Source organism: Homo sapiens, chromosome 17, assembly GCF_000001405.40.
Source record: "Homo sapiens chromosome 17, GRCh38.p14 Primary Assembly".
Lineage (NCBI taxonomy): Eukaryota > Metazoa > Chordata > Mammalia > Primates > Hominidae > Homo > Homo sapiens.
In genome coordinates, this window is record NC_000017.11 from 16921089 (window position 1) to 16941965 (window position 20877).

Sequence of the window (20877 nt, forward strand, 5' to 3'; positions counted from 1 at the left end):
AGTTGCTGTTCCAACCTCCTCATGTAAATGAACCCAGAGCCAAACTGGATGCCCCTCAGCCTTTGTGTTAATCACCTACCCCAGAGTGTGAGCTGAGAAGCACCCGGCCCTCTCCCCATGGTCCACAGCCTTCTCCGCATGTGATTAAAACTTAGCTGTGACGTTCTGCAGTAGGGCCATTTTTGAAATTGTGCACTTACTGCTTCAGTTGAGATAAGTAATAAGATTTCGGATGTGATTGTTTAAAGTGTTTTTAAGTAGCCATAGCATACAGTTGTTCAAAAAGCAGAAAACGTTCCTAAATTTTAATTGTCTAGTGTTTTATAGTCTTATTTCCTGTTAGTTGCATTAATTAAAGGTTACTGCAGAACAGTCTTTGTTGAGTGGAAGTATTCCTTAGAAGAGGTACAAGCTTTTGGTTTCTATCTTGCTGAATAGTCTGCAGGACGAAAGCTGCATGTATAGAATTTTAAAATGCAGCAACTTTGTTACTCTTGTCAGAGGCGCTGGAACCGGTGCAACTCCATCTTGAATAGAGGCTGGGTGAAATAAGACTGAGACCTACTAGGCTGCATTCCCAGACAGTTAGGGCATTCTAAGTCACAGGATGAGATAGGAGGTCAGCACAAGATACAAGTCATAAAACCTTGCTGATAAAAACAAGTTGCAGTAAAGAAGCCAGCCAAAACCCACCAAAACCAAGATGGCGACAAGAGTGACCTCTGGTCGTCCTCACTGCTACATTCCCACCAGCACCGTGACATTACAAATGCCATGGTGACGTCAGGAAGTTACCCTGTATGGTCTAAAAAGGGGAGGCATGAATAATCGACCCTTGTATAGCATATAATCAAGAAATAACCATCAAAATACCTCCCCAGCATTAACATCAGCACAGACCTAAAGTCTGATAAGAAACATTTTATAACCTCTCTCTGAAGACTGCTACCTGGAGGCAAACCAATTTATTTCTTAAATATGCTTGATTGAAGTCTCAAGTCTCTCTAAAATGTATAAAACCAAGCTGCACCACGACCACCTTGGTACATGTTCTCACGATCTCCTGAGGGCTGTGTCCCGGACCATGGTCACTCATATTTGGCACAGAATAAATCTCTTCAAACATTTTATAGAGTTTGACTCTTTTTCATTGACAAGACCATGCAGAGTAACTTCTGGATGTTGCCATGGCATTTGTAAACTGTCATGGCCCTGGTGGGAGTACCTTTTAGCATGCCAATGCATTGTAATTAGTGTATAATGAGCAAGAGGACAACCAGAGGTCACTTTCATCCCCATCTTGGTTTTGGTGGGTTTTGGCCAGCTTCTTTACTGCATCCTATTTTATCAGCAAGGTCTTTGTGACCTGTATCTTGTGCTGACCTCCTGTCTTATCCTATGACTAAGTATGGGTAACCTTCTGCAAATGCAGCCCAGTAGGTGTCAGACTTACCTTACCTAGACCTTATCCAAGATGGAGTCAGTCTGGTTCAAATGTGTGTGACACATTTAGATGGTCACAGGGGAGGTGAAGGGCCTTCAAATTTTATTTTGGTTCATGATATGGCTTGGCGTGTATGCTTTTCATTTGTAAAATTGCTGTTCTTTTGACAATTTAAGTGACTGTTTCATTGACTACAAGTTTGAAAATAAAAATTAATTAAGAAAAAAATTCCAATGACTGTGCTGTGGTTGGAGACTTTATTTACCAAGATGTTTACCCTTTCCTTTCCCCTCTCATTATGAGCAGCTGTGTCACTGCTCCTCCTCCTCCTCCCCTAATGCTTTGTAATCTCTCCTATGTCATAATAAAGCTACACTTTATTCTGAAAACTGGCCAGTTCTCCTTTTATTGACACAAGCAGTCAAAGAGAGGGTGGCAGGAGGGAAAACAGCAGCCAGGGCAGACCGACCTGGATGGGGCACCCTGGTCACAAGTAATGCCATGTAGGCTGCCATGATGGCGATAGGTAGAGCCGGCAAGTCTGTGTCCAGGTAGGGGCTTCCTACAGTGAAGGCTGATCTCAGCCCCCTCCACAGTGTGGGCGGCCTGCCCACAGGCAGCCCGCTGGTCCTCCTGGGAAATGGTGCCGGCCCAGGAATCCACAGCAAGTCTCTCATCATCAGATGGGGTGCTCAGCAATGGTGAGGCGGGCGTGCAGCAGGCAGGGCCTTGAAGCCTCCAGGTGGCATATTGGCATGTGAAGCCGGGGCACTCAGGACACTTTTGGGCTGGGCTCCAGAGATCAGACTGCCTGCACTGCAGTGATGAGGCTGGGAAGAGGCAGCAGTGTTCACAGCTGTTGGCCGCATTGAGCCAGCCCTCCACATCCTCATTACTGCACGGTCTCCCGTCTTGCCCAGGTTCTCTGATGTGAATCCTTACAGCATCAGGGCTCACAGTGCCCTGGTCCCCTCTGTGGTCACCCTGGGAGCCTGTGGTGCCTCTGGTGCCTCTCTCTTCCTAGGACTCGAGTTGAAGCCAGGGACCTCTGGGCCTGGGACTCACAGGTGGGGTCAGAGGCCCCAGGGCATGCTGCTGGCTGGCTGGCTGGCTGGGGCTGCAGGAACCCTATGCTTAGCCTTCCCTCCAGAGGCCTTGATGGGACCAAGCCCCGCTGAATGGGATTTTCCAAGGCCCAGAACCAAGGTCCAGCAGCCATCTGGGGCTGCGACGCAGCTGGGCGTGTGCCACCTGGGCTCCTTCCATGCCACGTTCTTCTACTGAGGGGCATCGCAGGCAGGTGCTGCCTTGTTGCTGGGGTGTCTCCTGACCTGCCTCCTCTGTCATAAGCCTGGGCAGGGCCTGGTGTCGGGGTCCCAGTGGGCTTGCTGGGCCAGGCCCGTCGTGTGGTTGCAGGGCTGTCCAGGTAACATGTTGAAGTGACAGGGGCCCAGTAGCCCTGTTCAAAATTGTAGTAAGGAAACCATGGATCCCAGCATCCAGGTCTGTGTGGAGGTGTGGCATAGAGTCCCAGCACAGGTATTTTTATGTAATACGAGGCCTGACCTCACCGGGAAACAGGGTGGCCACATCTTGATCCTCTGGGCCACCCAGAGAGCAGCCTGCTGCCCTGGGTTCTGGGGAAGCCCCTTCGTGCTGCTGGGCCTTGGCCTCCGCCATGGAGACAACCCTGTCAGGCCAGGCTGGGGGAGGACAAGGCTTTTGTCCTGGGGGGCTGATGGCATGAGCCCCTGGAGCTGAGCTGGTGGGCTGGGCAGGGCCAATCTGTCCCCCTCACAGAGGGGCCTAATGCCAGGAGACACCCTCGAGGACCCTCTCTCGAGTTCTCCTGAAAAAAAAGAAACAGACGTGGTCGGCATCTTCACCAAGCTCATCGGGTCCCTTCAGGGCTGGGCCCCACAGGCCTGGGTCTCTGGAGTCCTCGGGGTCCCTGACACTGAGTATGCCCCCGCAGGCTGCTGATCTCAGGGCGAGGACTGTGTGCAGTCTGGGGTCAGGGAGCTTTCAGGGAACCTCAGGTTGCTCCTGAAATGGCCCCCAGTGTTCAGGCTGGCTCAGGGCTTCCTGCCTCATGCCCTCACCTCAGGACTGTTCGGCAGCCCCAACTCAGAACTCAACTGGGAGGGACCTGCACTGTCACCCAGCCCCCTTGCCACCACACATGGGGGCCTGTCCCCACAGAGCATGAGAAGGTCCCGGGCAGGGGTTCCCCTCTGCCCTCCAGGCTGTTCACCCCATGCCAGGGCTGGACCAATCCCATGTCCAGCTGAACTCTTGGTTCTGGCTCTGGGTCAGGGCTTCCCCTATCCTGTGCCTGAATCCTCTTGGGTCAGGGACACTGATTCTCTTGTCTCCCTGGCTTGTTGTCTTGACATCCTTGGAGGGGCACTCAAGAATGAGGGGTCCCTGCTGCTCTCTGAGGCTGCTTGAAGGTGGGGGTGGGGGCTTCCACAGCTGGGTCTGACTGCCCCAGTGTCCCTCAGGGCCCTTCGAGGAGGAGAGGAGGACAGTGTGGAAAGTGCGGGAGGGGTGTTGGTGGTTCCTGCCCATGGCCCCTGCCTGTCCACTCAGCATGTCCAGCACACACACACACATGCGCTCAGCGCCTGCCCTGAGGAGCGGCAGACCCATTTGACTTTCTTAGAGTAGAGGAGGAAGAGGAGGAAGAAGAGGTGCAGGAGGAAGGCCAGATAGGAGGGCTGGCGGGGCCAGGACACCCCCAACCATTGACTGCCCCAGAGGGAGACTCCGGAGGGGACCTGGTGCTGGAGCCCACCTGGGGATGGCAGGTCCCAGTGTTTTTTTGTGAGTTCCTTCATAGAGGTTTGAAGGTTCCTGAGGACCGAGTTGTCCTCCAGGGCCCAGCTCTGAGAGAGTCGCTCCTGAAACTCCCAGACGGTGCTCCAGGAAAGCTTCATGAGGTGCTCTAGGGAGAGGGCGGGCATCAGGCCAGGAGGGTTCCCTGGGAGGGGTCAGTGCCCGCACCCCGTTTCCACCAGGGCTACCTCCCACTGGGTGGTGCCGGGTCCTTTTTGGCCACCCCGGGGTCGAGCTGTGCACAGAAGGCCACAGCTAGGGGAGGCCGGGCAGGGAAGTGCTCCCCACACTCCTTTCATCTGGGTCATGTTGGGGGGTGGACTCAGTGTCATCATGCCTTGCCCAGCCCACCAGGCCAGGCCCTCTGCTCGGATGGAGCAGAGAGTCATGGTAACAGTGTGAGGACGCTTCCCTCAGGCCAGCGGAGGTCTGTCCCACGTGTTCCCTTGGGCACCCTCAGGCACATGGGACTTACCCCTGTGTATTTTGAATGATGCATGCGCCATGGCTGTCAGTACCTGCTCGCCCTCCAAGATAAGCACATCCCACAGTCGCAGGGTGAGCCCGAAGGATTTCTTTGGGGACAGCAGGTGTGGGAGGACCTGGCCTTTCCAGGCTGGGGCTGGTGGCCTGAGCAGGACCCATTGGGGTTTCAGTCCTCTGGAGTGCTGAGGACCCCTTTCCATGGGATGAGACCCCTCCATGAGGCTGCGGTCAGACAAGGTCCTGCAGCTCCTCATGGGGGACTCATCTCAGCAGTGAGGTGGCTTCTGGAAGAAGGGGCTTCCTGAGGACTTGGGGCTTCCCTGGGCCCCTCCAAGTTGGGTCCTAGCCCAGTCTCCCCATGAGGCTGGGCCTGAGCCCTGGCCTCTGCCGTGGGATGCCCCCTCTCAGGCAGAGCCTGGTTTATGTGCCCTGTAGGGAACTGCCTGTGCCTCCTGCAGGCTGGAGGGGATCTGAATCCTCCTGGCGGAGCTCGACCCCTGGGCTGGGGGTGCCGGGCACTGCGGGACAGGAGGGTCCCTGGGCTGGGGTCTCCCTGTGCCTCCTTACCCCATCAAGGAAACACTGGAGGAGCCTCGTCAGCATGGAACCCTCAATGCATAGCCCTTCCTTGCCCTGAAGGGAGGAGCAGAGGTGCTCAGGGCCCCTTGGGCTGCCCTGAAGTCCTCCCACTTCCAGGCCCCTCTGTAGACCCTTCCTCAAGGAGCAGAATCCAGGGCGGTGGCCAGGGCTCCAACACCTGCCCCATGCACGGATGCCCAGTGGACATACTTCCCTTAGCCCTGCTTAGCCAGAGCTTGGCCCTGGTCCCAGCCCTTCTGCCTCCCCCAGGGCAGGAAAAGGAAACCCAACTCCGAACCCTTGGAGAATCCCCATCCCAGGTCAGGCTGTGGTTGGGACTTGGCCTCTTGTCAGCTCTGTGAGAGACTAGAGCCTCCCCTGGCCTGTGGGGCCCAGGGCTTATGGGGAGGAGCAGAGGGTGTCATCCACTCACCAGCTGTCTCATGATCTTTGGGAAGGACTTGTGCAGCACCTGCTCCTGATGTGATAGGAGCTTCCGGAGCTGGGCAGTATTTGGGCTGTGGAATACTGAGAAGCTGCCGACCCATCACCCCATCAGAGCCCACGCCCAAGATGTGGAGGCATCAGCTGGAAGAGCTGGGCAAGATGGGGGACCCCGGACCCCGAGGCTTCCCTCCTTCCCATCTGGTGACCCCATCATGCGGCCTCAGCCCTGGGGAGGAGGGCCCTGGCTGGGAGCGCTGCCCGGCGGCATCCTGGGTTGAGGTGCCAGGAGGGCAGCCTGCCTTTGACACCATGAGGTAGGGCCGAGGCAGGCAGGTGCTAGCGGGGAGACCGGGGTGGGAGCTGGGGGCTGTGTGGCCATCTCCTGGATGTGGGATCAGGCTGGGGGACATGGGATGGGCAGACATTGCCATCTTGGCTTCATCGGCCCATCCATAGGAAGGGAGGGTGGCTGGGAGCACAGCCAGCTGGGAGGCAGGAGGACACTCAGGGAGGTGAGTGGCGCCTGCACAAAGTTGGGGCTGGCTTCGGGCAACAGAGGGTGGCCAGAAAAAGGTGTCAATGCTCTCTGATGTTAGGGATGAAACGTGTCTGACTTGAGGTTTAAGGGTCCATGTCCAGACCCAGGCTGCTGTGGGACCTCAGCAGGGACATCCTGGAGGCTCCAAATAAGCTGGGATACAAGGAAAGCACCTTGACTGGAAGTTGGGATCACCGGCCAGAGTGGCTGTCCCCTGGCATGACTGTGTAAGGCCCTGGGGGCAGCTGTCCACCTACCCTGCAGGGAGTGCCTCTCACCGGCCAGCAGCTGAGCCAGCCACCCAGAAAGCATCTTCCTCCGGCAGATAAAGGAGGACGGCAGTGTTGCGGCTCAGGTCCCTGTGGTAGCCCACCTCCTGCAAGAGCCAGAGTCACCGTGGAAGGATGTCACCTGGGAGGGCTGAGGCCACCTGGGAAGACTCACATCACCAGAGATGGCAGAGATCCTTGGGGACACCTGCCACAGGCCCCCGGGGATTTGGGGTGGGCATGAGGACTGAGCAGGTCACGTATGACTCAGCTGACAAAGAGCCTGGGGGACTCCTGCAGCGAGCGTCTAAGCTCAAATGGCCCTAAAGGGCACAGTCAGGGATTGTTTATGCTCCTTCCCCTAGGCAGGCTGGGGAGGCCACTATGCCAGGCCCGGAGCAGCACCTGTGAAGTGCACCCACCACGAGGGCAGGCGGCAGGGTGCTGACCACCACACAAAGGGTCCTGCGGCGACTCAAGGGCTGCCTGCCCGGCACAGGAGGGCGGCTGGGTCCAGACCCCATGTGGCAGCCCATGGAGTCGGCTCAGCAGCTCTCCCTGCCTGGAATGGTCTGGAAAGTGGGGACCGAGCAGGAACAGCCACCTGGGTGACCCCCTCCCTGTCTGCTGCACTCCTATGGGGTTCAGGCAAAGGGGAAATTGGATCTCTGTCTGGTTTCTGGTGAAGAAGAGGCTTCCTCAGGATGCCAACTCATTTCATGACAAGAGCCTGGCCCATCAGGCACCCCAGCCACTTGTCAAACCTGTCTCCTGCCAGAACCATCTGCATGCGCCCCTGCCAAGCTCCTGGGCTTTGGGGCAACGCCAGGAGGGGAAGGTCATTTCTTCATCTGAGACATGGTGGTCGGATCCAGGTGACACCAGGAGTCTGGGCTTCAACCCTTTTCTGTCTCAGTTTGACCCCTTGAGCCGCCCCCTTGCTTGGGTGTCCATGCTGGCAAGTGAGCTTGAGTCCTGCCTACTACGTCCTGGTGGGTCACAAACACTGAATTTTCAAGAAGTGCTGAAACCCCCGAGAGGCACCTATGCCTGTGAGTATGGGCACATGGCCCAGGACTATTGCTGCCCGGGAATACTCTAAACATCATGTGATTCTGCAGGGTGTGGCTGACATCTGCCTTGATGCGGTGGGTGATCCTGGAGGACCTCTTGCCCTTCTCCTTCATGACTTGTAGGGCAGGGCCAAGAGGAGGAAGCAGCCTCAGAACAGACAAAAGACTCCCTGCCCCTAACAGCTGTCATCCCACAGTCAGCACTTCTGGAAGGAAGGGAGGAAGGTTTCCTTCTGCAGAAAGTTCCTTTTTTGCCTTGTTTCTGAAGCCAGGGAGGGTCAGCAGAGCCCAGCACACCTGTGGTGCCTGTGTCACCGTCTGTGCCTAGTATGTGCATCTGACTACAGCCCCCACCCCCAACCCGGGCTTGACATTCCTTCCGGCTGGAGTCCTGGGCTCCTGACACAGCCTGGCCTATTTGTCCTGCCCTGGCTGAGTGTGGGAGGGCCTTACCTTGTATTTCCTGGGTTCTGGGACTTGACTTTGTCAATGTCTAGCAGAAGTGCCCACGCCTGGCCTCACACCAGGGGAATGCCTTTGTACCTGCTTCGAGACAGCTACAGACAAAAGAACACTCCAGTGAGACAGGATGTGTAGTGACTTGGGGAGGAAAGCCGGTAAACAGGCCTGCTGTCCTATGATGGGGATGGAGTGCCACCCATCTGCTGAGAGGCAGATGGTGCCAGGTCATGGCCATGGGTGCCTGTCTCCTGACTCTGCAGAGAGCAGTCATGGAGGCCACTCCCTCCCCACGTTACCTTCTTTTCCTTTTGAGATGAAGTCTCCCTCTTGTCGCCCAGGCTGGAGTTCAGTGGTGCGATCTTGGCTCACTGCAACCTCCACTGCCTGGGTTCAAGCAATTCTCGTGCCTCAGCCTCCTGAGTAGCTGGGATTACAGGTGCCCGCCACCGTGCCCAGCTAATTTTTGCATGTTTAGTAGAGACGGGGTTTCGCCATGTTGGCCAGGATGGTCTCGAACTCCTGACCTCAGGTGATCCGCCCACCTCAGCCTCCCGAAGTGCTGGGGTTACAGGCCTGAGCTACCAGGCCCAACCGCCATGTCACCTTCTTGCTGTTCTTATATTTTGGCCAGTCTCCAAGCATCTTCAGCCACTTGTCAGTACATTTTATTTCCTGACACCTTTGCTGTCAAATGAGCCATGATGGAGTTAGCGGAGCTGCCAGGCCTCCGGCAGCGGCCCATGGATGCTGGGTCCTGGGCTTTGGGGCCCTGAAGGAGCAAGGAAAGAGCAGAGCCCGGGGGCTGAGACCCTCTGAACTAACTGGAGCTGGTGGTCTGGACTGGTCATGCCAGGACACACCATCCTCAGGCCACAGACACCCCGAGTTTTGGTCAGGTCCTGGCCCTTAGCTGGGGACTTGGTACAAACAGGCAGTGACCTCTGAGCCAAGACTGTGGTTCTTGATTTGGGTTTTGGTCAAATGCTCATGGGAACAGAGTCCGTCAGGAAAGGCCGCCCCTCCCAGGGACAGCCCTGGCCCACTTACCACCGCCCGGGCCCGCAGGCCACCCCCTCTGTCTCACCAACCACTCCTGATTCCCTGTCCCTGGACCAGTCTCCCACGCAGCAGGCACAGGCTCTTCCCTTCACCTCCAGGGCACTGACACGGGCAGCTCTGTCTCACTGTAAGGCAACCCAGGCAGAGCTGACGACCTACCTGGGCCAGGAGCCATCCTCATCCATGAGAGGGCCCCAGCCCTCCCCATCCACCCTAAGTCTCAGCCCGGGAGAAGGCACAGGGAAGGAAGGCAAGGGCCTCCCTGTGGAGCTGATGCCCACGAGGCACCAGGACCCTGGAGAAGAGGGAGCTCGAGGCTGGCCTGGAGGGGGCCACTCGGGGCCTGTGGGGTGCCTTGGGCTGCACAATGGGGCTGCTCCTCCTGGGCTGGAGGCGACACCCTCTGTGGAGCTGAGAAAGTCCAGTCCTGAGACGAGATGGGTGCCACCCAGGGTGGGTGGCTGAGCCCTGACTGACAGCAGTGCCTCGTGAGTGACCACATCACCCACCAGAGTCCAGGGAGCCTGGCCTGAGAGCTGCCTAGTGCCCTGAGGACGCACCTGGGACCTGTCCCACCTGACACTCCCCATAGGCCTTGCAGGGTGTGACCTCCCAGCGTTCACCTGCCTCTCCCTGCATCCCGGCTGCAGACCCTGCCTATTCCTCATCTTCCCCCATCCTGCCCGCCACAGAGACTGTGACCCTCTCTCCGGCCACCCTGGCCCTTCCAGGACCCTCTTCCTGTCAGAGCCTAGGTATGAGACCCCCCAGGTCTCTTACTGGGCTGCTCAGCGCTGCTGGGGAGAAGCCTGGGGTGACAAGGGTGACCAAGGGCCCTGCAGGCAGTGGGGCTGGCCCCACCACCCTGCCTACAGCCTCAGCTGGCTCTCAGGGCAGTCAGCCTTCAACCCTCAGCCTCCTCCCAGCCACTGCAAAAACCAGGACATGGGATGCCTGGCTGTCCTCCCCCTACTGTCCTGCCTGCCCCGACTCAGCCTCCCGTCCACCTTCTGTGGTGCTGACTGAGCCAGCAGGAAGCAGAGTCTCTGGAGGGCCACGTAGAGCTTGGGGACTGACTGAGTCACCCCCACTGAGGGGTCCCAGGTGAGCCGCTGTTCCCTGACCACCCCATCTGTTTTCCTCCCCAGACTATCAGCTCTACCCTGGGCCAGCTTGGTTCAGGTGCATCCCAGAAGTGGCAGGTCTCACCGGCTCACCGCCCCCCAATCCCAGGCTCCTCCCTCTCTCCATCCTGTGAGTCCTGAGGGGCCGGCTCCAGGCTGGGCTCCCCTTACCAGGCCCAGGTCCCTTCCCAGCACCACCACTCCTGGGGCCTTCAGCTTCAGGCTCTGTTGCCCCCCAGGCCTCACTGTGGGATGCCCAGGACAGGCCCTACACTTCTTCTCCCCCAGCCTCCCAGGGTCACAGCCCTTGCTGTCCCCATGCCCCTCCCTATAGGATGCCCCAGTGGGCCCCCTGAGCCCTTGGAGACCTGCTACACAACAGCCCACAGGCCTGGCCAGGTGTCCCCTTGCCCTGTGGCCACCACCCTCAGATCTCACCAGGGCAGGCCCCAAGGGGACAGGGCCAGACCCTTAGGCTGCCCCCTCGTCTCCTGCTGATGTGGAGAGCTCAGTGCTGAAAGCCCCGGGCCTGACCCAGCCCCCTCTCTGTCCCACCCGCTCTCTCGAGCTCCCTAGATGGGCCTTGAGGCTCTGCCCTAACCCTGACCACAGGCTGGACTTGCAGGAGAGGCAGAGAGGAGTTCTTACCCTGGAGAGGAGATTGTCCTGAGCCAGGGAAGCCTGCCCTACCTCAGAGAGACCTTTCTAAAAACAAAACCCATCCCTGAGGTGAGACTTGTGGGTGGGGGGACAGAGGACTCACCACACAACCCAGAGACGACTGGTGAATTTCCAGATGTCAACACGCTCATGCTCTGTGTCCACTGCTGCCCCAGCTCAGCGTCCCTGTGACCCAGCGAGGGCCAGGGAGACAGGGGCAAGGTGAAGGGCTTGGGGTCCTGACGGCATGGAGAGCCTGTCTTCACCCTGTGGTCCTGGGGAGCCCAGGACCCTCTGACCAGGCTCTGACCAGTGGGGGAGGTGAGGCCCCACCTTCCTCAAGGGAGTGGCCCGACCTGTACCTGCTCATACTTAGTAATGATGATGTTGCCTTGCCCCTGGGTGGGCAGGATATCCGGGTGCTCATCCATCTCCATCCTGCAAGACAAAGTCATCCAAAGGCTCTGCAGCACCCGAGAGCTCCAGAGAACACCCGAACGGCTCCCACCAGACCCCCAAATGCTGGCCAGACAGGTGAGCCCCATTCCACGATTGCTCCCCAAGACAAAGGGTTAAATCCAGTATTCCCACCCATGCCCTAGTCTCTAGAGTCCCTGCCCTGGACCAGGAGTAGGCTCCTTCCTGAGGACTTGAACACAGGGGGACCTGGACAGAGAGGCCCATTGTTCCCAAATGCCCTAAGACAGACACACACTTGCCCTGGCAGGACCAACGGCGTCCACCTGCTGAGGGTAAAGGGCCCACGATGGGCTGTTCCAGGCACCTGGAGGCAGTTGGGGTCAGGAACCAGACGTCTCTATAGGATCAGCCTCCTGGGATCCTTCTAGGACCATGAAGATGCCCAGTTTTCTGTAGGAAGCAAGACATCTGGTGACTGCTCCATTCTGCTCCAATTCTCACTCACTCTGGCTGGTGAAGCCGCTTCAGGAACAACACCAGCTAAGCAGGAGGGCATTTGGTTTGGGGGAAAAATGACCTATTGAGTCCAAAGCAGCCTCTGTCCTCGTGGAGACCCTGTGCTCGTCTCAGGTGGAGGACGGTGGACTCCACAATTCCCAGCTGTCAATACAGGAGGGGGCTTCGTTTTCCTGGATCACCAAGGAAAAAACAAGAGAATTCTGGGGACTTGGTCCTGGAGAACACCCAGGGGGACCATCTTCCTTGGGAATACTTGGGACAAAGGGAAGACAAGACCTCTAGAGAATCAGACAGAGAAGGTTCCAGTCCCCAAGCCCCTTTGACCAAGAGGGACGATCATCACCCTCCAGGCAGCCCTCTAGAGCTCCTTCATTTTCCACAACTGCCCGAGGGCAGAGGCCTCCCCACCCCACTCCCAGACGAAGGACTCCATGTGTCCAGTGGGTCCCACAGCAACCATCAGTGACCGCACCTGAAGTCTGAGTTGATGAGACCTCCTCCTGTGGGGACCAAGCTTTGGGCACAGACTTGGACTGAGAATCACCCCCTCCACCCCATCAGGGTCCAGAACCCCAGGGAAATGTGGGATCTAAGGCAGGGAGGCTGCAAAGGTCAGGGCTTGAGTCTAGCACTGCACAGGGCAGGGCTGAGTGCACGGCCCAGGCCACATCTGGGTCTCTGGGCCAGTCATCACCTCTCTGACTCTAGACATCTCACCTGTGGAATGGCTACATTCGGGGACAGGATCCGCCCCATGGAGTTGCTGTGGGGATGAAGGAAAAGGCCATCTACAAGGTCAGCACAAAACCTGCACCTGGCGAGTGCTGAGGGATGCTATGACTCATCCCCACTATGAATAGAGGCAAAGAGGCTCCAAGGACAAACCCCCTGTCAGGTCATCCAGTGGCCAGCTGGCCAGGCCTCTGCTAGCCAGGCCCTACTGAGCAGGCCCCGTGACTATTTCCCCACTGATCATATTTTCACTAAGCCCCAGTGTCCAAGTCTCTGCTGACCAGGCCCCCCTGACCCAACCCATGATGACCAAATCTCTCACTGACCATGTTCTCAATGACGAGGACCCCGCTGCCCAGGTCCCCACTTCCCAGGTCCCAAAGCAGCAGTGCTCAAAGTCCCCTACCTAACTGCCCAAGGGCAGAAGGCTCTTCACCCCACTCCCAGACAAGGGACCCCCTGTGTCCAGTGGGTCCCACAATGACCCTCAGTGACCACATGTGAAGTCTGAGTTGGTGAGACCTCCCGCGGGGTCCCAGCTTAGGGCACAGACTTGGACTGAGGACCACCCCCTCCACCTCACCCATAGGATCTCTGTCCCAGTGGCTCTTCCAGGGCCAGACTCTGCCCCATCAGGGGCTGGAACCCCGGATGGATTTGGAATCCAGGGCAGGGAGGCCACAGAGGTCAGGGCTTGAGTCCAGCGTAGCACAGGGCAGGGCTAAGAGCATGGCCCAGGGTCACATCTGGGTCTCTGGACCAGTCGCTGCCTCTCTGACCCTAGACATCTCACCTGTGGAATGGGTACATTAGGGGACAGCACCCACCCCCACCAGCGTCACTGTGACGACCAACAAGACGAACATCTATACCGTCAGTGCAGAACAGGCACCTACCTGGTGAGTGCTCAGGGATGACCCTCCTCGGCACCCGCCCAGAGGCCAGCACTGCCTGGTAGCGACTGTCCCAGGTCAGCAGGGAGGGAACAGAGCAGGTCACACTCAGCTGAGTCTGCTGATCCAACTGTGCCTCTCACTTAAGAAAGCCTCCTCTGAGCAGAACCAGACATCGCTGTTTATCTTGTCTCTAAGAGCTCCAGACACAGAGAAGGCAGCCAGGTAGGCGGGTGGGTACTCAGCACCAGTGACATTACGGGATCACGGCACCCATCACAATGGGCCCCCGCCTGGGTCAGCAGGGCCCACAGTCACCGTCCTCCACCCCCGAAGCATCAACATGTGTGCATGCAGTGTGTTTGTAAATGTGAGCGTGCACATATATGTGGGTGAACACGTGCATATGGTGTGTTGCTTCTGTGGCTGGGCCAGGTGGCCCCATTCATGTACGCACTCAGGTCCTTGTCACTGTCACGCCCGGCCCTGGGCCTGTGGCCAGCATCAGAGTGTCCACAGGTGTTCCCCAACCTCAGCCCTCCCTAGGTGGGGCAGTCCTGTGGACGGGGAGCAGAGAATTGAGGGTGGAGGGCAGAGAGCAGGCCCCCTCTTTAGCAGGGGACTCAGCTAGGGTGTAAAGTGCTAGGTCTGTTGGGCAGGGCCGGATTCCACACACCTGCTCATCTCCTCCTCCCAGTAGCCCTCTGGGGTGATGTGACTCATCCCCACTACAGATGGCGGCAAGCAAGCTCCAAGGACAAACCCCTGCATGAGGTCACCCAGCAGCCGGCTGGCCAGGACCCCACTAACTAGGCCCCCACTGACCAAGCCTCCCCCGACAAGGCCGCTGCTGACCAATGCCCCCCCACAAGTCCTTCACTGACCAGGTCCTCACTGACCAGGTCCTGACTGACCAGGCTCTTGATGACCAAGCCCCCAGTAATCAGATCTCCACTTACCAGGTCCCCACTGACCAAGACCCATTGACCAAGCACCCAGTGACCAGGTCCTCACTGACAGTCCCTCAATGACCAGGCCGCCTGACCAACTCTCTGATGGCCATGCCCTTTCTGATCATATTTTTTGTGACCAAGTCCCAGTGTCCTAGTCTCTGCTTACCAGGCCTCTACTGCCAAGGTCCCTGAGCCATGGAGCTCAATGTCTTCTTTCAGTGACCCGCTTCAGTCCTCAGAGCCACCCCTCCCCACATTGGCACCCATAAGCCAGGCACTGGGGATCTTCTCAGGTCAGGGCCCCTCCTCTGGGACACAGGGAGGGGCACTCGGCCCCAGGCTTTGGGTGCCCAGCTTCATGCTCACCCCACAAAACCCTCTGGGCCCATCTCAAAGGGGGCAGTGAGGTGACCTGGCACCACCTGGACACACTGTCTGGGCCTATTCCTGAGCCACACAGCCAGAGGAACGGGGGGATGTTAGACAAGGCACCCCGCTCTGTTGGGCCTCCCAGGGCCCTTCCCTCAGAGCCCGAATCTGGTGACACAGCACAGAGGCTGCAGGGTGACCAGCCCAGAACCCTTGAGACTAGGCTGGGGACCACACAAGAACTGTCCACAGACAGCCAGAAGATGCTTTGCTAGTTTCTTGATACCTCATTTCTCACCAGCTACCCTTCCCCCACCAGGAATCCCCTTCATGCAGAGTCAATGAGGAGAGGAAGATGTCACAGAATCCGTGGAAGGAAAGAAAACAAAAGGTGGGTGGGGAGAAGAGTTGGGAGTGTAGCATTGTAAGGGTCCTATACTATGCGTATTATTTGAGGGTTGGCTGTGATTAATTAAAGGTGTTTCTTGCAGACAACCATTACACACACACTCTCACACACACACACACACATATATATATATATATACAGATATATATATGTGTGTATGTATATATATATAATAGAGAGAGAGGAGGTCTCACTCTGTCGCCCAGGCTGAAGTGCAGTGGCCCAAACACAGCTCACTATACAGCCTTGACTTCCCAGGCTCAAGCAATCCTCCCACCTCAGTCTCCTGAGTAGCTGGGACTACATGTGTGGGCCCCCATGCCTGGCTGCTTTTGAAATGGTTTGTTGTAGAAATGGGATCCTGCTGTGTTACCCAGGCTGATCTGGACCTCCTGTCCCCAAGCAATCCTCCAGGCTCAGCTGGAAGTGTTGGGATTACAGGGATGAGCCACTGCACTTGGCTTAGACATGTTTTTAAGAAGCATAAATACGAATTTCAGTGTTGCCATGAAGTCAGGCAGGGGTTGGCAAACTATGGCCCACAATCCAGATGCAGTCCCCTCCTGTCATGGTGAATAAAGGTTTATTGGAGCCACAGTTCCTCCCCTGTGTTCACTTCTTGTCTGTGGCTACTTAGGGCTGCAGTGGCGAAGCTGAGTAACTGCTGAGTAGGTGCAACAAAGACCACAGGGTCCACGAAGCCCAAGATGCTTACTACCAGGTCCTTTGCAGAAAAATCTTGCTGAGCCCTGGGGAGGGGCCAGGTGGCAGCGGGGAGGCCAGTGGGGAGGCTGGTACAGTAATCCAGGTGAAAAACGATGAGAGCTCAGATTAAAACTATCATGACAAGTGGCTGGAATCAGGATATATTTTGGGGAAAGGACCAACAATACATAGATAAAATGGACAGTATTTAGAGTTTCAGATTTTCTTTCTACCAAAGGATCCCTTTCTAAAAAAAAAAAAGAGTACAAAAGATCAATTTTAAAAACTGACCAAAGAAACACCACCACAAGATTATTTGTGTGATTGAAGCTGGGGTTGAGCCTGGGTACCTTGTGTTTTCAACACCCCTAAAACCCCGGCTGTTCCAGAGGCACCTACAGAGCCCCTTGGGTTCAGACGAGCAGAACTTGAAACCATGGATCGGAAGGAATAGAAATCTGCATATCTTTCACACAAGCCGTAACATTCTAAGCCGCATATTTGCAGGACGCTGACGTGGGGCTACTTCACCCACAGCCAGCAAGCGTCTGCGCCAGTTCTGGGATTTGTGTCCACCTTGTTGTAAGAAGGCAGCTGCTTGCGTGAGGCATGGCGGTGAGGAAACAATGCCACCCGGATCTCACCATTGGCCGTGTGGACTGGCTGTACCATGGGCCAGACGCATGTCTTGGGCAGACACTTTTTAGATGCCAACTTGCCTGTAGACAAAGATGACGCAGAGGTGGCCTCGAGGACGGCCTGTGTGATGGGTTGAATTTGTCCCCCGAAATTCCTGTGTTGATGTCCTAAGCCCCAGTGCTTGAGAATGTGATCTTATTTACAGATATCATCTTATAGAAATAAGTTAAAATGAAAAATGAGGTCAGTAGGGGGGCCCCCAATCTAACTACTGGTGTCGTTATTATAAGAAAAGGAAATGTGGACAGAGACACACAGAGGGAAGACGAGGTGAAGAGACACCGGGAAGGCCACCTACCTGCCAGGAGAGAGGCCTGGAACAGAGCCTTCCCGCACCGCCCTGAAAAGGGACCTTCCCTGCCGACACCTTGATCTTGGACCTACAGCCTGCAGGACTGTGAGACAGTGAGATTCTGTTGCTGAAGCTGCCCAGTCTGTGGTACTTTAAGGAAGCCCAAGCAAACCAATGCAGCGTGGTAGCCCACAGCTGGTGAAAAGATGGAATGAGCGACGGAGCCCCAGGCTTCCTGTCTACACCTCCCAAAGTGCGCTACGGGATCCTTTGGTGGGTGCAGGTTTGCAAGATAATTTTAGGAGGTGCAGGGTGCATAATTTCAATGTACATTATTATGGATTTATCTTACTGTGAAAATGCTTCTAAGAATAGTTTACTTAAGGTTTACATGCTACTCAAGATATAGCTTTAAATGCTAACAAAAAGTGGACTCAAATGAAAACATTCTCTTGCTGTGGTCCAGGGAATCTTGATGTTTTTTCCAGAGAGACTCGCAGCTTTCAGCTACAGCTGCCCTCCCCTTCCTGTCCACTGCACATCCCCACAACACACACACATATACATACATACATGCACAGACATCCACACGCACACACATATACGTACATGCACACGCATACATGCACACACATATGCATGCACACACCTGCACACACACACACACACACACACACACACACTGTGCGTCATGCCCTTACTAAGGAGGCATGGAAGGGAATGTGTGTCTGTAAGGAAATGAAGATGGCTCAAGCCCCTGGTTCCCTGGGTGTTTGCACAGGCACCCTCCCTGCAGACCTTTCTTTGGTCTCTTTCTCTCTCTTAGTGAAAGAGAGAAGCAGAGCCCCAGTGGGTACCCGGCTGCTTAGGGCTCAACCCAAGGTCACAAGCTTCCTCGAGAGCCTGGTGAGATGGGGGCACCACAGGGCCTCCCAAACCAAGGGGGCAGCGTTCAGTGGAGCCTGATGCCCAGGAAAGTGATAGACAAGATGTCTCAGTTCATCAAAGACCCAACCACAATGCAGTGAGGAAGGGCAGCTGCCAAAGGTTTTATTCTCCAGGAGGAGGGGCTCTCGGGGGCTGTGAGCAGCAGGCACGAGGACTTTATTGCACGTGTGGTTAGGTGATGACGACCTACAGCTGCACTGGGAACTGGGACTCAGAGTGCCCCGACCTCCTGCTCTATCTCTCTCTGTCCCTCTCTCCCTCTCTGTCTCTCTGCCTCTCTCCCTCTCTGCCTCTCTCCCTCTCTGCCTCTCTCCTTCTCTGCCTGTCTCTTTCCTTCTCTGCCTCTTTCCCTCTCTGCCTCTCTTCCCCTCTGTCTCTCTCTCCCTCTGTCTCTCTCTCCCTCTCTGTCTCCTCTGTTTCTCTCCCTCTCTGCCTCCTCTGTCTCTCTCTCCTCATATCTCTCTCCCCTCTCCCCACCTCTCTTTCTCTCTCCCCTCCTCTCCATCTCTCTCCCTCCTCCTTTCCCTCCCTGACCCCCATTTATGCACCTGGGCCCCCCTCCTGGGCAGGCACACACACAATGCCAAGGCCACTGTCTGGGATGTGTGGGCAAGGCTGCAGGACTGTGGTCCTGGTGTGGCACCCCCACCTTCCAGCACAAGTGGGGTCGGGGGTCCCAGGCGTGACTGCGCTCTCCTGCGTGGGCGCCCTGCACTCAGGGAAGCAGAAGCTGCAGGTCTCCACTGGCTCGGGGGATGTGCTCACAGGGCTGCCGGCTTCCATCGCGTGATCTGCAGAGGCGAGAGTGGAGGGCGTGGGCCAGGCCTGGCCCTGCACTAGGGTAGGGGTGACGGTGTGGGCAGCCGCACTCTCCCCCGACCCAGGAGCTAAGGGCAATCACCAGCGTAGAACGCCCCCAGACAGGTGTCAGTGTCCGCCAGTTGCTGACCAGAACCTGTGCCGGGGCAGGGGTGGGCAGGCAATTCTTGGCTCTCACTTCTGTCCAGCACCGAGCCTGCCACGCCCCCCAAGGGGACACCTCCTCCTGGGCTTAGCCCTGAAGGCTCTGCATCTGGAGAATCCTGGGCCCAGGCAAACCTGAAGACCGGCACCCCACACCCACCCTTCCCGGGTGCCACTCTCCCAGTTATCTGTCTGCCAGGATGTCTTAACCTGATTTTATCAAGGTATAGCAAGTAACAGGGATGAGCCCTGGGCCTCTCCACCTAGAAGCAGGGGCAGTGACAGGACCGAGGGATGGCCCGAGGCTTGTCACCCAAGCAGCGAGAAGGGCGAGGACCCCAGTTTCATGCACTCACCCTGGGAAGACTTGGCCGGACTTTGACGGGGCCTTGAGCGGGGCTGGCAGGAGCAGGGATCCCCCCTCTTCTTGAGGAAGCAGGCCACCGCCACCAGGAAGCAGCAGAGGACGGCACACAGGCAGAGCCCCAGCGTGCTGTAGACCAGGGCCACCTGATCTGCACTCAGCTTCAGCCCCGGGAGAGCTGCAAGACAGCATGAGACCCCTCTCTGCAGTGCCTTCTTCTCTTCCCGTCATTAGGCTCAAGCAATCCACATCCCCCCATCCCCCTGCTGTGAGCCTGTCTGGCTCCTGGAGAGGCTGGGCTCCTTTTCTGACCCTGAGGCTGCTGGGATGCTCTCTGGATCCTGGAGGAAGTTGATCCACTCCCCCATCCTGGCAGCAACTTTCTAAGGCCTCAAAGCTGGAAACGTGAGCTAGGCCTTCTTGTTGTCTCCACTTGCTAGGGCTGTAATTGGGACAGCGCTGGAGATGGGCTGATGGGTGAATCGACAGACGAACAGACGATGCTCCAGGGAGCATGTCTCTGTGCATCCTGAACTGGGCCCTTCCTCCAAGGAGAAAGCTTCCTGAGTGAGCGTTTACAGTCGTCCCTTGGTATCCATGGGGGACTGGTTCCAGGATCCCCTACAGATACCAAAATCCGCGGATGTCCAAGTGCCTGATACAAGACGGCCTGGCATTTGCATATAACCTATGCACATCCTCCTATACAATTAGAGTCATCTCTAGATTACTTATAATACCAAATACAATATAGATGCCATGTAGAAGGGTGTTATACTGTATTGTTTAGGGATAACAATGAGAAAAAATGGCTGCAGAGGTTCAGTACAGATGCAACTATCCCCTATCTTTTCTGAGTATTTTCCAGCTGCTGTTGGTTGAATCCACAGACATGGGTCGCACGACACAGAGGGCCCACTGTGTTTGAGAGTAGGACAGGCGACGTTACACTGAGACCAGGACAGCAGGTGCCAACCAGGAGGGCTTTGGGCATCAGGGCACCTGGCCACCCTATGACTCAGGACTTGTGCCTCCAGGTTTGGATGCCAGAGACAGACTCAGCCCAGGTGAAAGCCCTCCCCTTGGAAGTTCTCCTTATCCCAAAAGCTCTTCCTTGTCCCTGGAGCTGGGCATCCTCTAGGCGCTGGGTGGAAAGACAGATGAGCCAGATTTAAGATGACACGTCAAGAAGAGCGAGTCCCACTTCGTGCCGGGCACTTCCCCTACAGCACCCCCTTCATCTTCCCGCTCTGATGGCAGACAACTACCCCCATTAAAAATACTGAGAATTTGTATACCATCAAATTTGCTGTATTAAAGTGTACAACCAGTGGCTTTTAGCACATCACAAGGTTGTGCAGCAATGGCAACTGTCTAATTGGAGACAATTTTTATCACCAAACAGAAACCCTGTCTCATCAGCAGTCACTCCCCATTCCCTCTTCCCAGCCCCTGGCAACTGTTCATCTCTTTTCTGTCTCTGTGGATTTGCCTATTCCAGACATTTCATATTAATGAAATCATACAACACGTGGTCTTTTATGCCTGGCTCCTTGCACTTGGCTTTGAGTTTTCAAGGTCCACCATGTCCTGCCGTGCTGTGTATTAGACCTTCGTTTCTCTTTAGGCGGA

At 56.4% G+C, this 20877-nt stretch overlaps 1 protein-coding gene and 1 pseudogene across 2 annotated transcripts in view, besides 8 other annotated features; both read right to left on the minus strand.

Moving 5' to 3' along the window:
- Positions 1-1687: 1687 nt before the first annotated feature.
- On the minus strand, positions 1688-12088 carry TBC1D27P (TBC1 domain family member 27, pseudogene; annotated as a pseudogene). The gene is made up of 13 exons (NR_147084.1): positions 11977-12088; positions 11695-11849; positions 11342-11417; positions 11083-11165; positions 9221-9320; positions 8433-8905; positions 8128-8231; positions 6590-6708; positions 5781-5865; positions 5336-5401; positions 4758-5049; positions 4242-4391; positions 1688-3293 (listed from the first exon to the last, which is right to left on the minus strand). The product of NR_147084.1 is annotated as a TBC1 domain family member 27, pseudogene (transcript).
- Positions 3957-4642: an enhancer, noted in NCBI's record as "H3K27ac hESC enhancer chr17:16828359-16829044 (GRCh37/hg19 assembly coordinates)". NCBI's record gives its function as "activates a minimal SCP1, AML or CMV promoter by ChIP-STARR-seq in naive H9 embryonic stem cells {active_cell/tissue: H9 hESC(naive)}" and the evidence as "EXISTENCE:reporter gene assay evidence [ECO:0000049][PMID:30033119]".
- Positions 13566-13615: an enhancer, noted in NCBI's record as "active region_11772". NCBI's record gives its function as "activates an Ori minimal core promoter by ATAC-STARR-seq in GM12878 lymphoblastoid cells {active_cell/tissue: GM12878}" and the evidence as "EXISTENCE:reporter gene assay evidence [ECO:0000049][PMID:35858748]".
- Positions 13626-13685: an enhancer, noted in NCBI's record as "active region_11773". NCBI's record gives its function as "activates an Ori minimal core promoter by ATAC-STARR-seq in GM12878 lymphoblastoid cells {active_cell/tissue: GM12878}" and the evidence as "EXISTENCE:reporter gene assay evidence [ECO:0000049][PMID:35858748]".
- Positions 14126-14245: a silencer, noted in NCBI's record as "silent region_8230". NCBI's record gives its function as "represses an Ori minimal core promoter by ATAC-STARR-seq in GM12878 lymphoblastoid cells {active_cell/tissue: GM12878}" and the evidence as "EXISTENCE:reporter gene assay evidence [ECO:0000049][PMID:35858748]".
- Positions 16092-16592: an enhancer, noted in NCBI's record as "H3K4me1 hESC enhancer chr17:16840494-16840994 (GRCh37/hg19 assembly coordinates)". NCBI's record gives its function as "activates a minimal SCP1, AML or CMV promoter by ChIP-STARR-seq in primed H9 embryonic stem cells {active_cell/tissue: H9 hESC(primed)}" and the evidence as "EXISTENCE:reporter gene assay evidence [ECO:0000049][PMID:30033119]".
- Positions 17390-18230: an enhancer, noted in NCBI's record as "H3K4me1 hESC enhancer chr17:16841792-16842632 (GRCh37/hg19 assembly coordinates)". NCBI's record gives its function as "activates a minimal SCP1, AML or CMV promoter by ChIP-STARR-seq in naive H9 embryonic stem cells {active_cell/tissue: H9 hESC(naive)}" and the evidence as "EXISTENCE:reporter gene assay evidence [ECO:0000049][PMID:30033119]".
- The window catches only part of TNFRSF13B (TNF receptor superfamily member 13B), a 33038-nt gene continuing 30153 nt past the window's right edge, over positions 17993-20877 (minus strand). The window contains exons 4-5 of the mRNA NM_012452.3: positions 19238-19423; positions 17993-18709 (exon numbers count right to left, since the gene is read on the minus strand). Coding sequence (NP_036584.1) covers positions 18459-18709; positions 19238-19423 — 437 coding nt within the window. The 3' untranslated portion in view covers positions 17993-18458. The remainder of the gene's footprint in view (positions 18710-19237; positions 19424-20877) is intronic.
- Positions 18016-18065: a silencer, noted in NCBI's record as "silent region_8231". NCBI's record gives its function as "represses an Ori minimal core promoter by ATAC-STARR-seq in GM12878 lymphoblastoid cells {active_cell/tissue: GM12878}" and the evidence as "EXISTENCE:reporter gene assay evidence [ECO:0000049][PMID:35858748]".
- Positions 18076-18125: a silencer, noted in NCBI's record as "silent region_8232". NCBI's record gives its function as "represses an Ori minimal core promoter by ATAC-STARR-seq in GM12878 lymphoblastoid cells {active_cell/tissue: GM12878}" and the evidence as "EXISTENCE:reporter gene assay evidence [ECO:0000049][PMID:35858748]".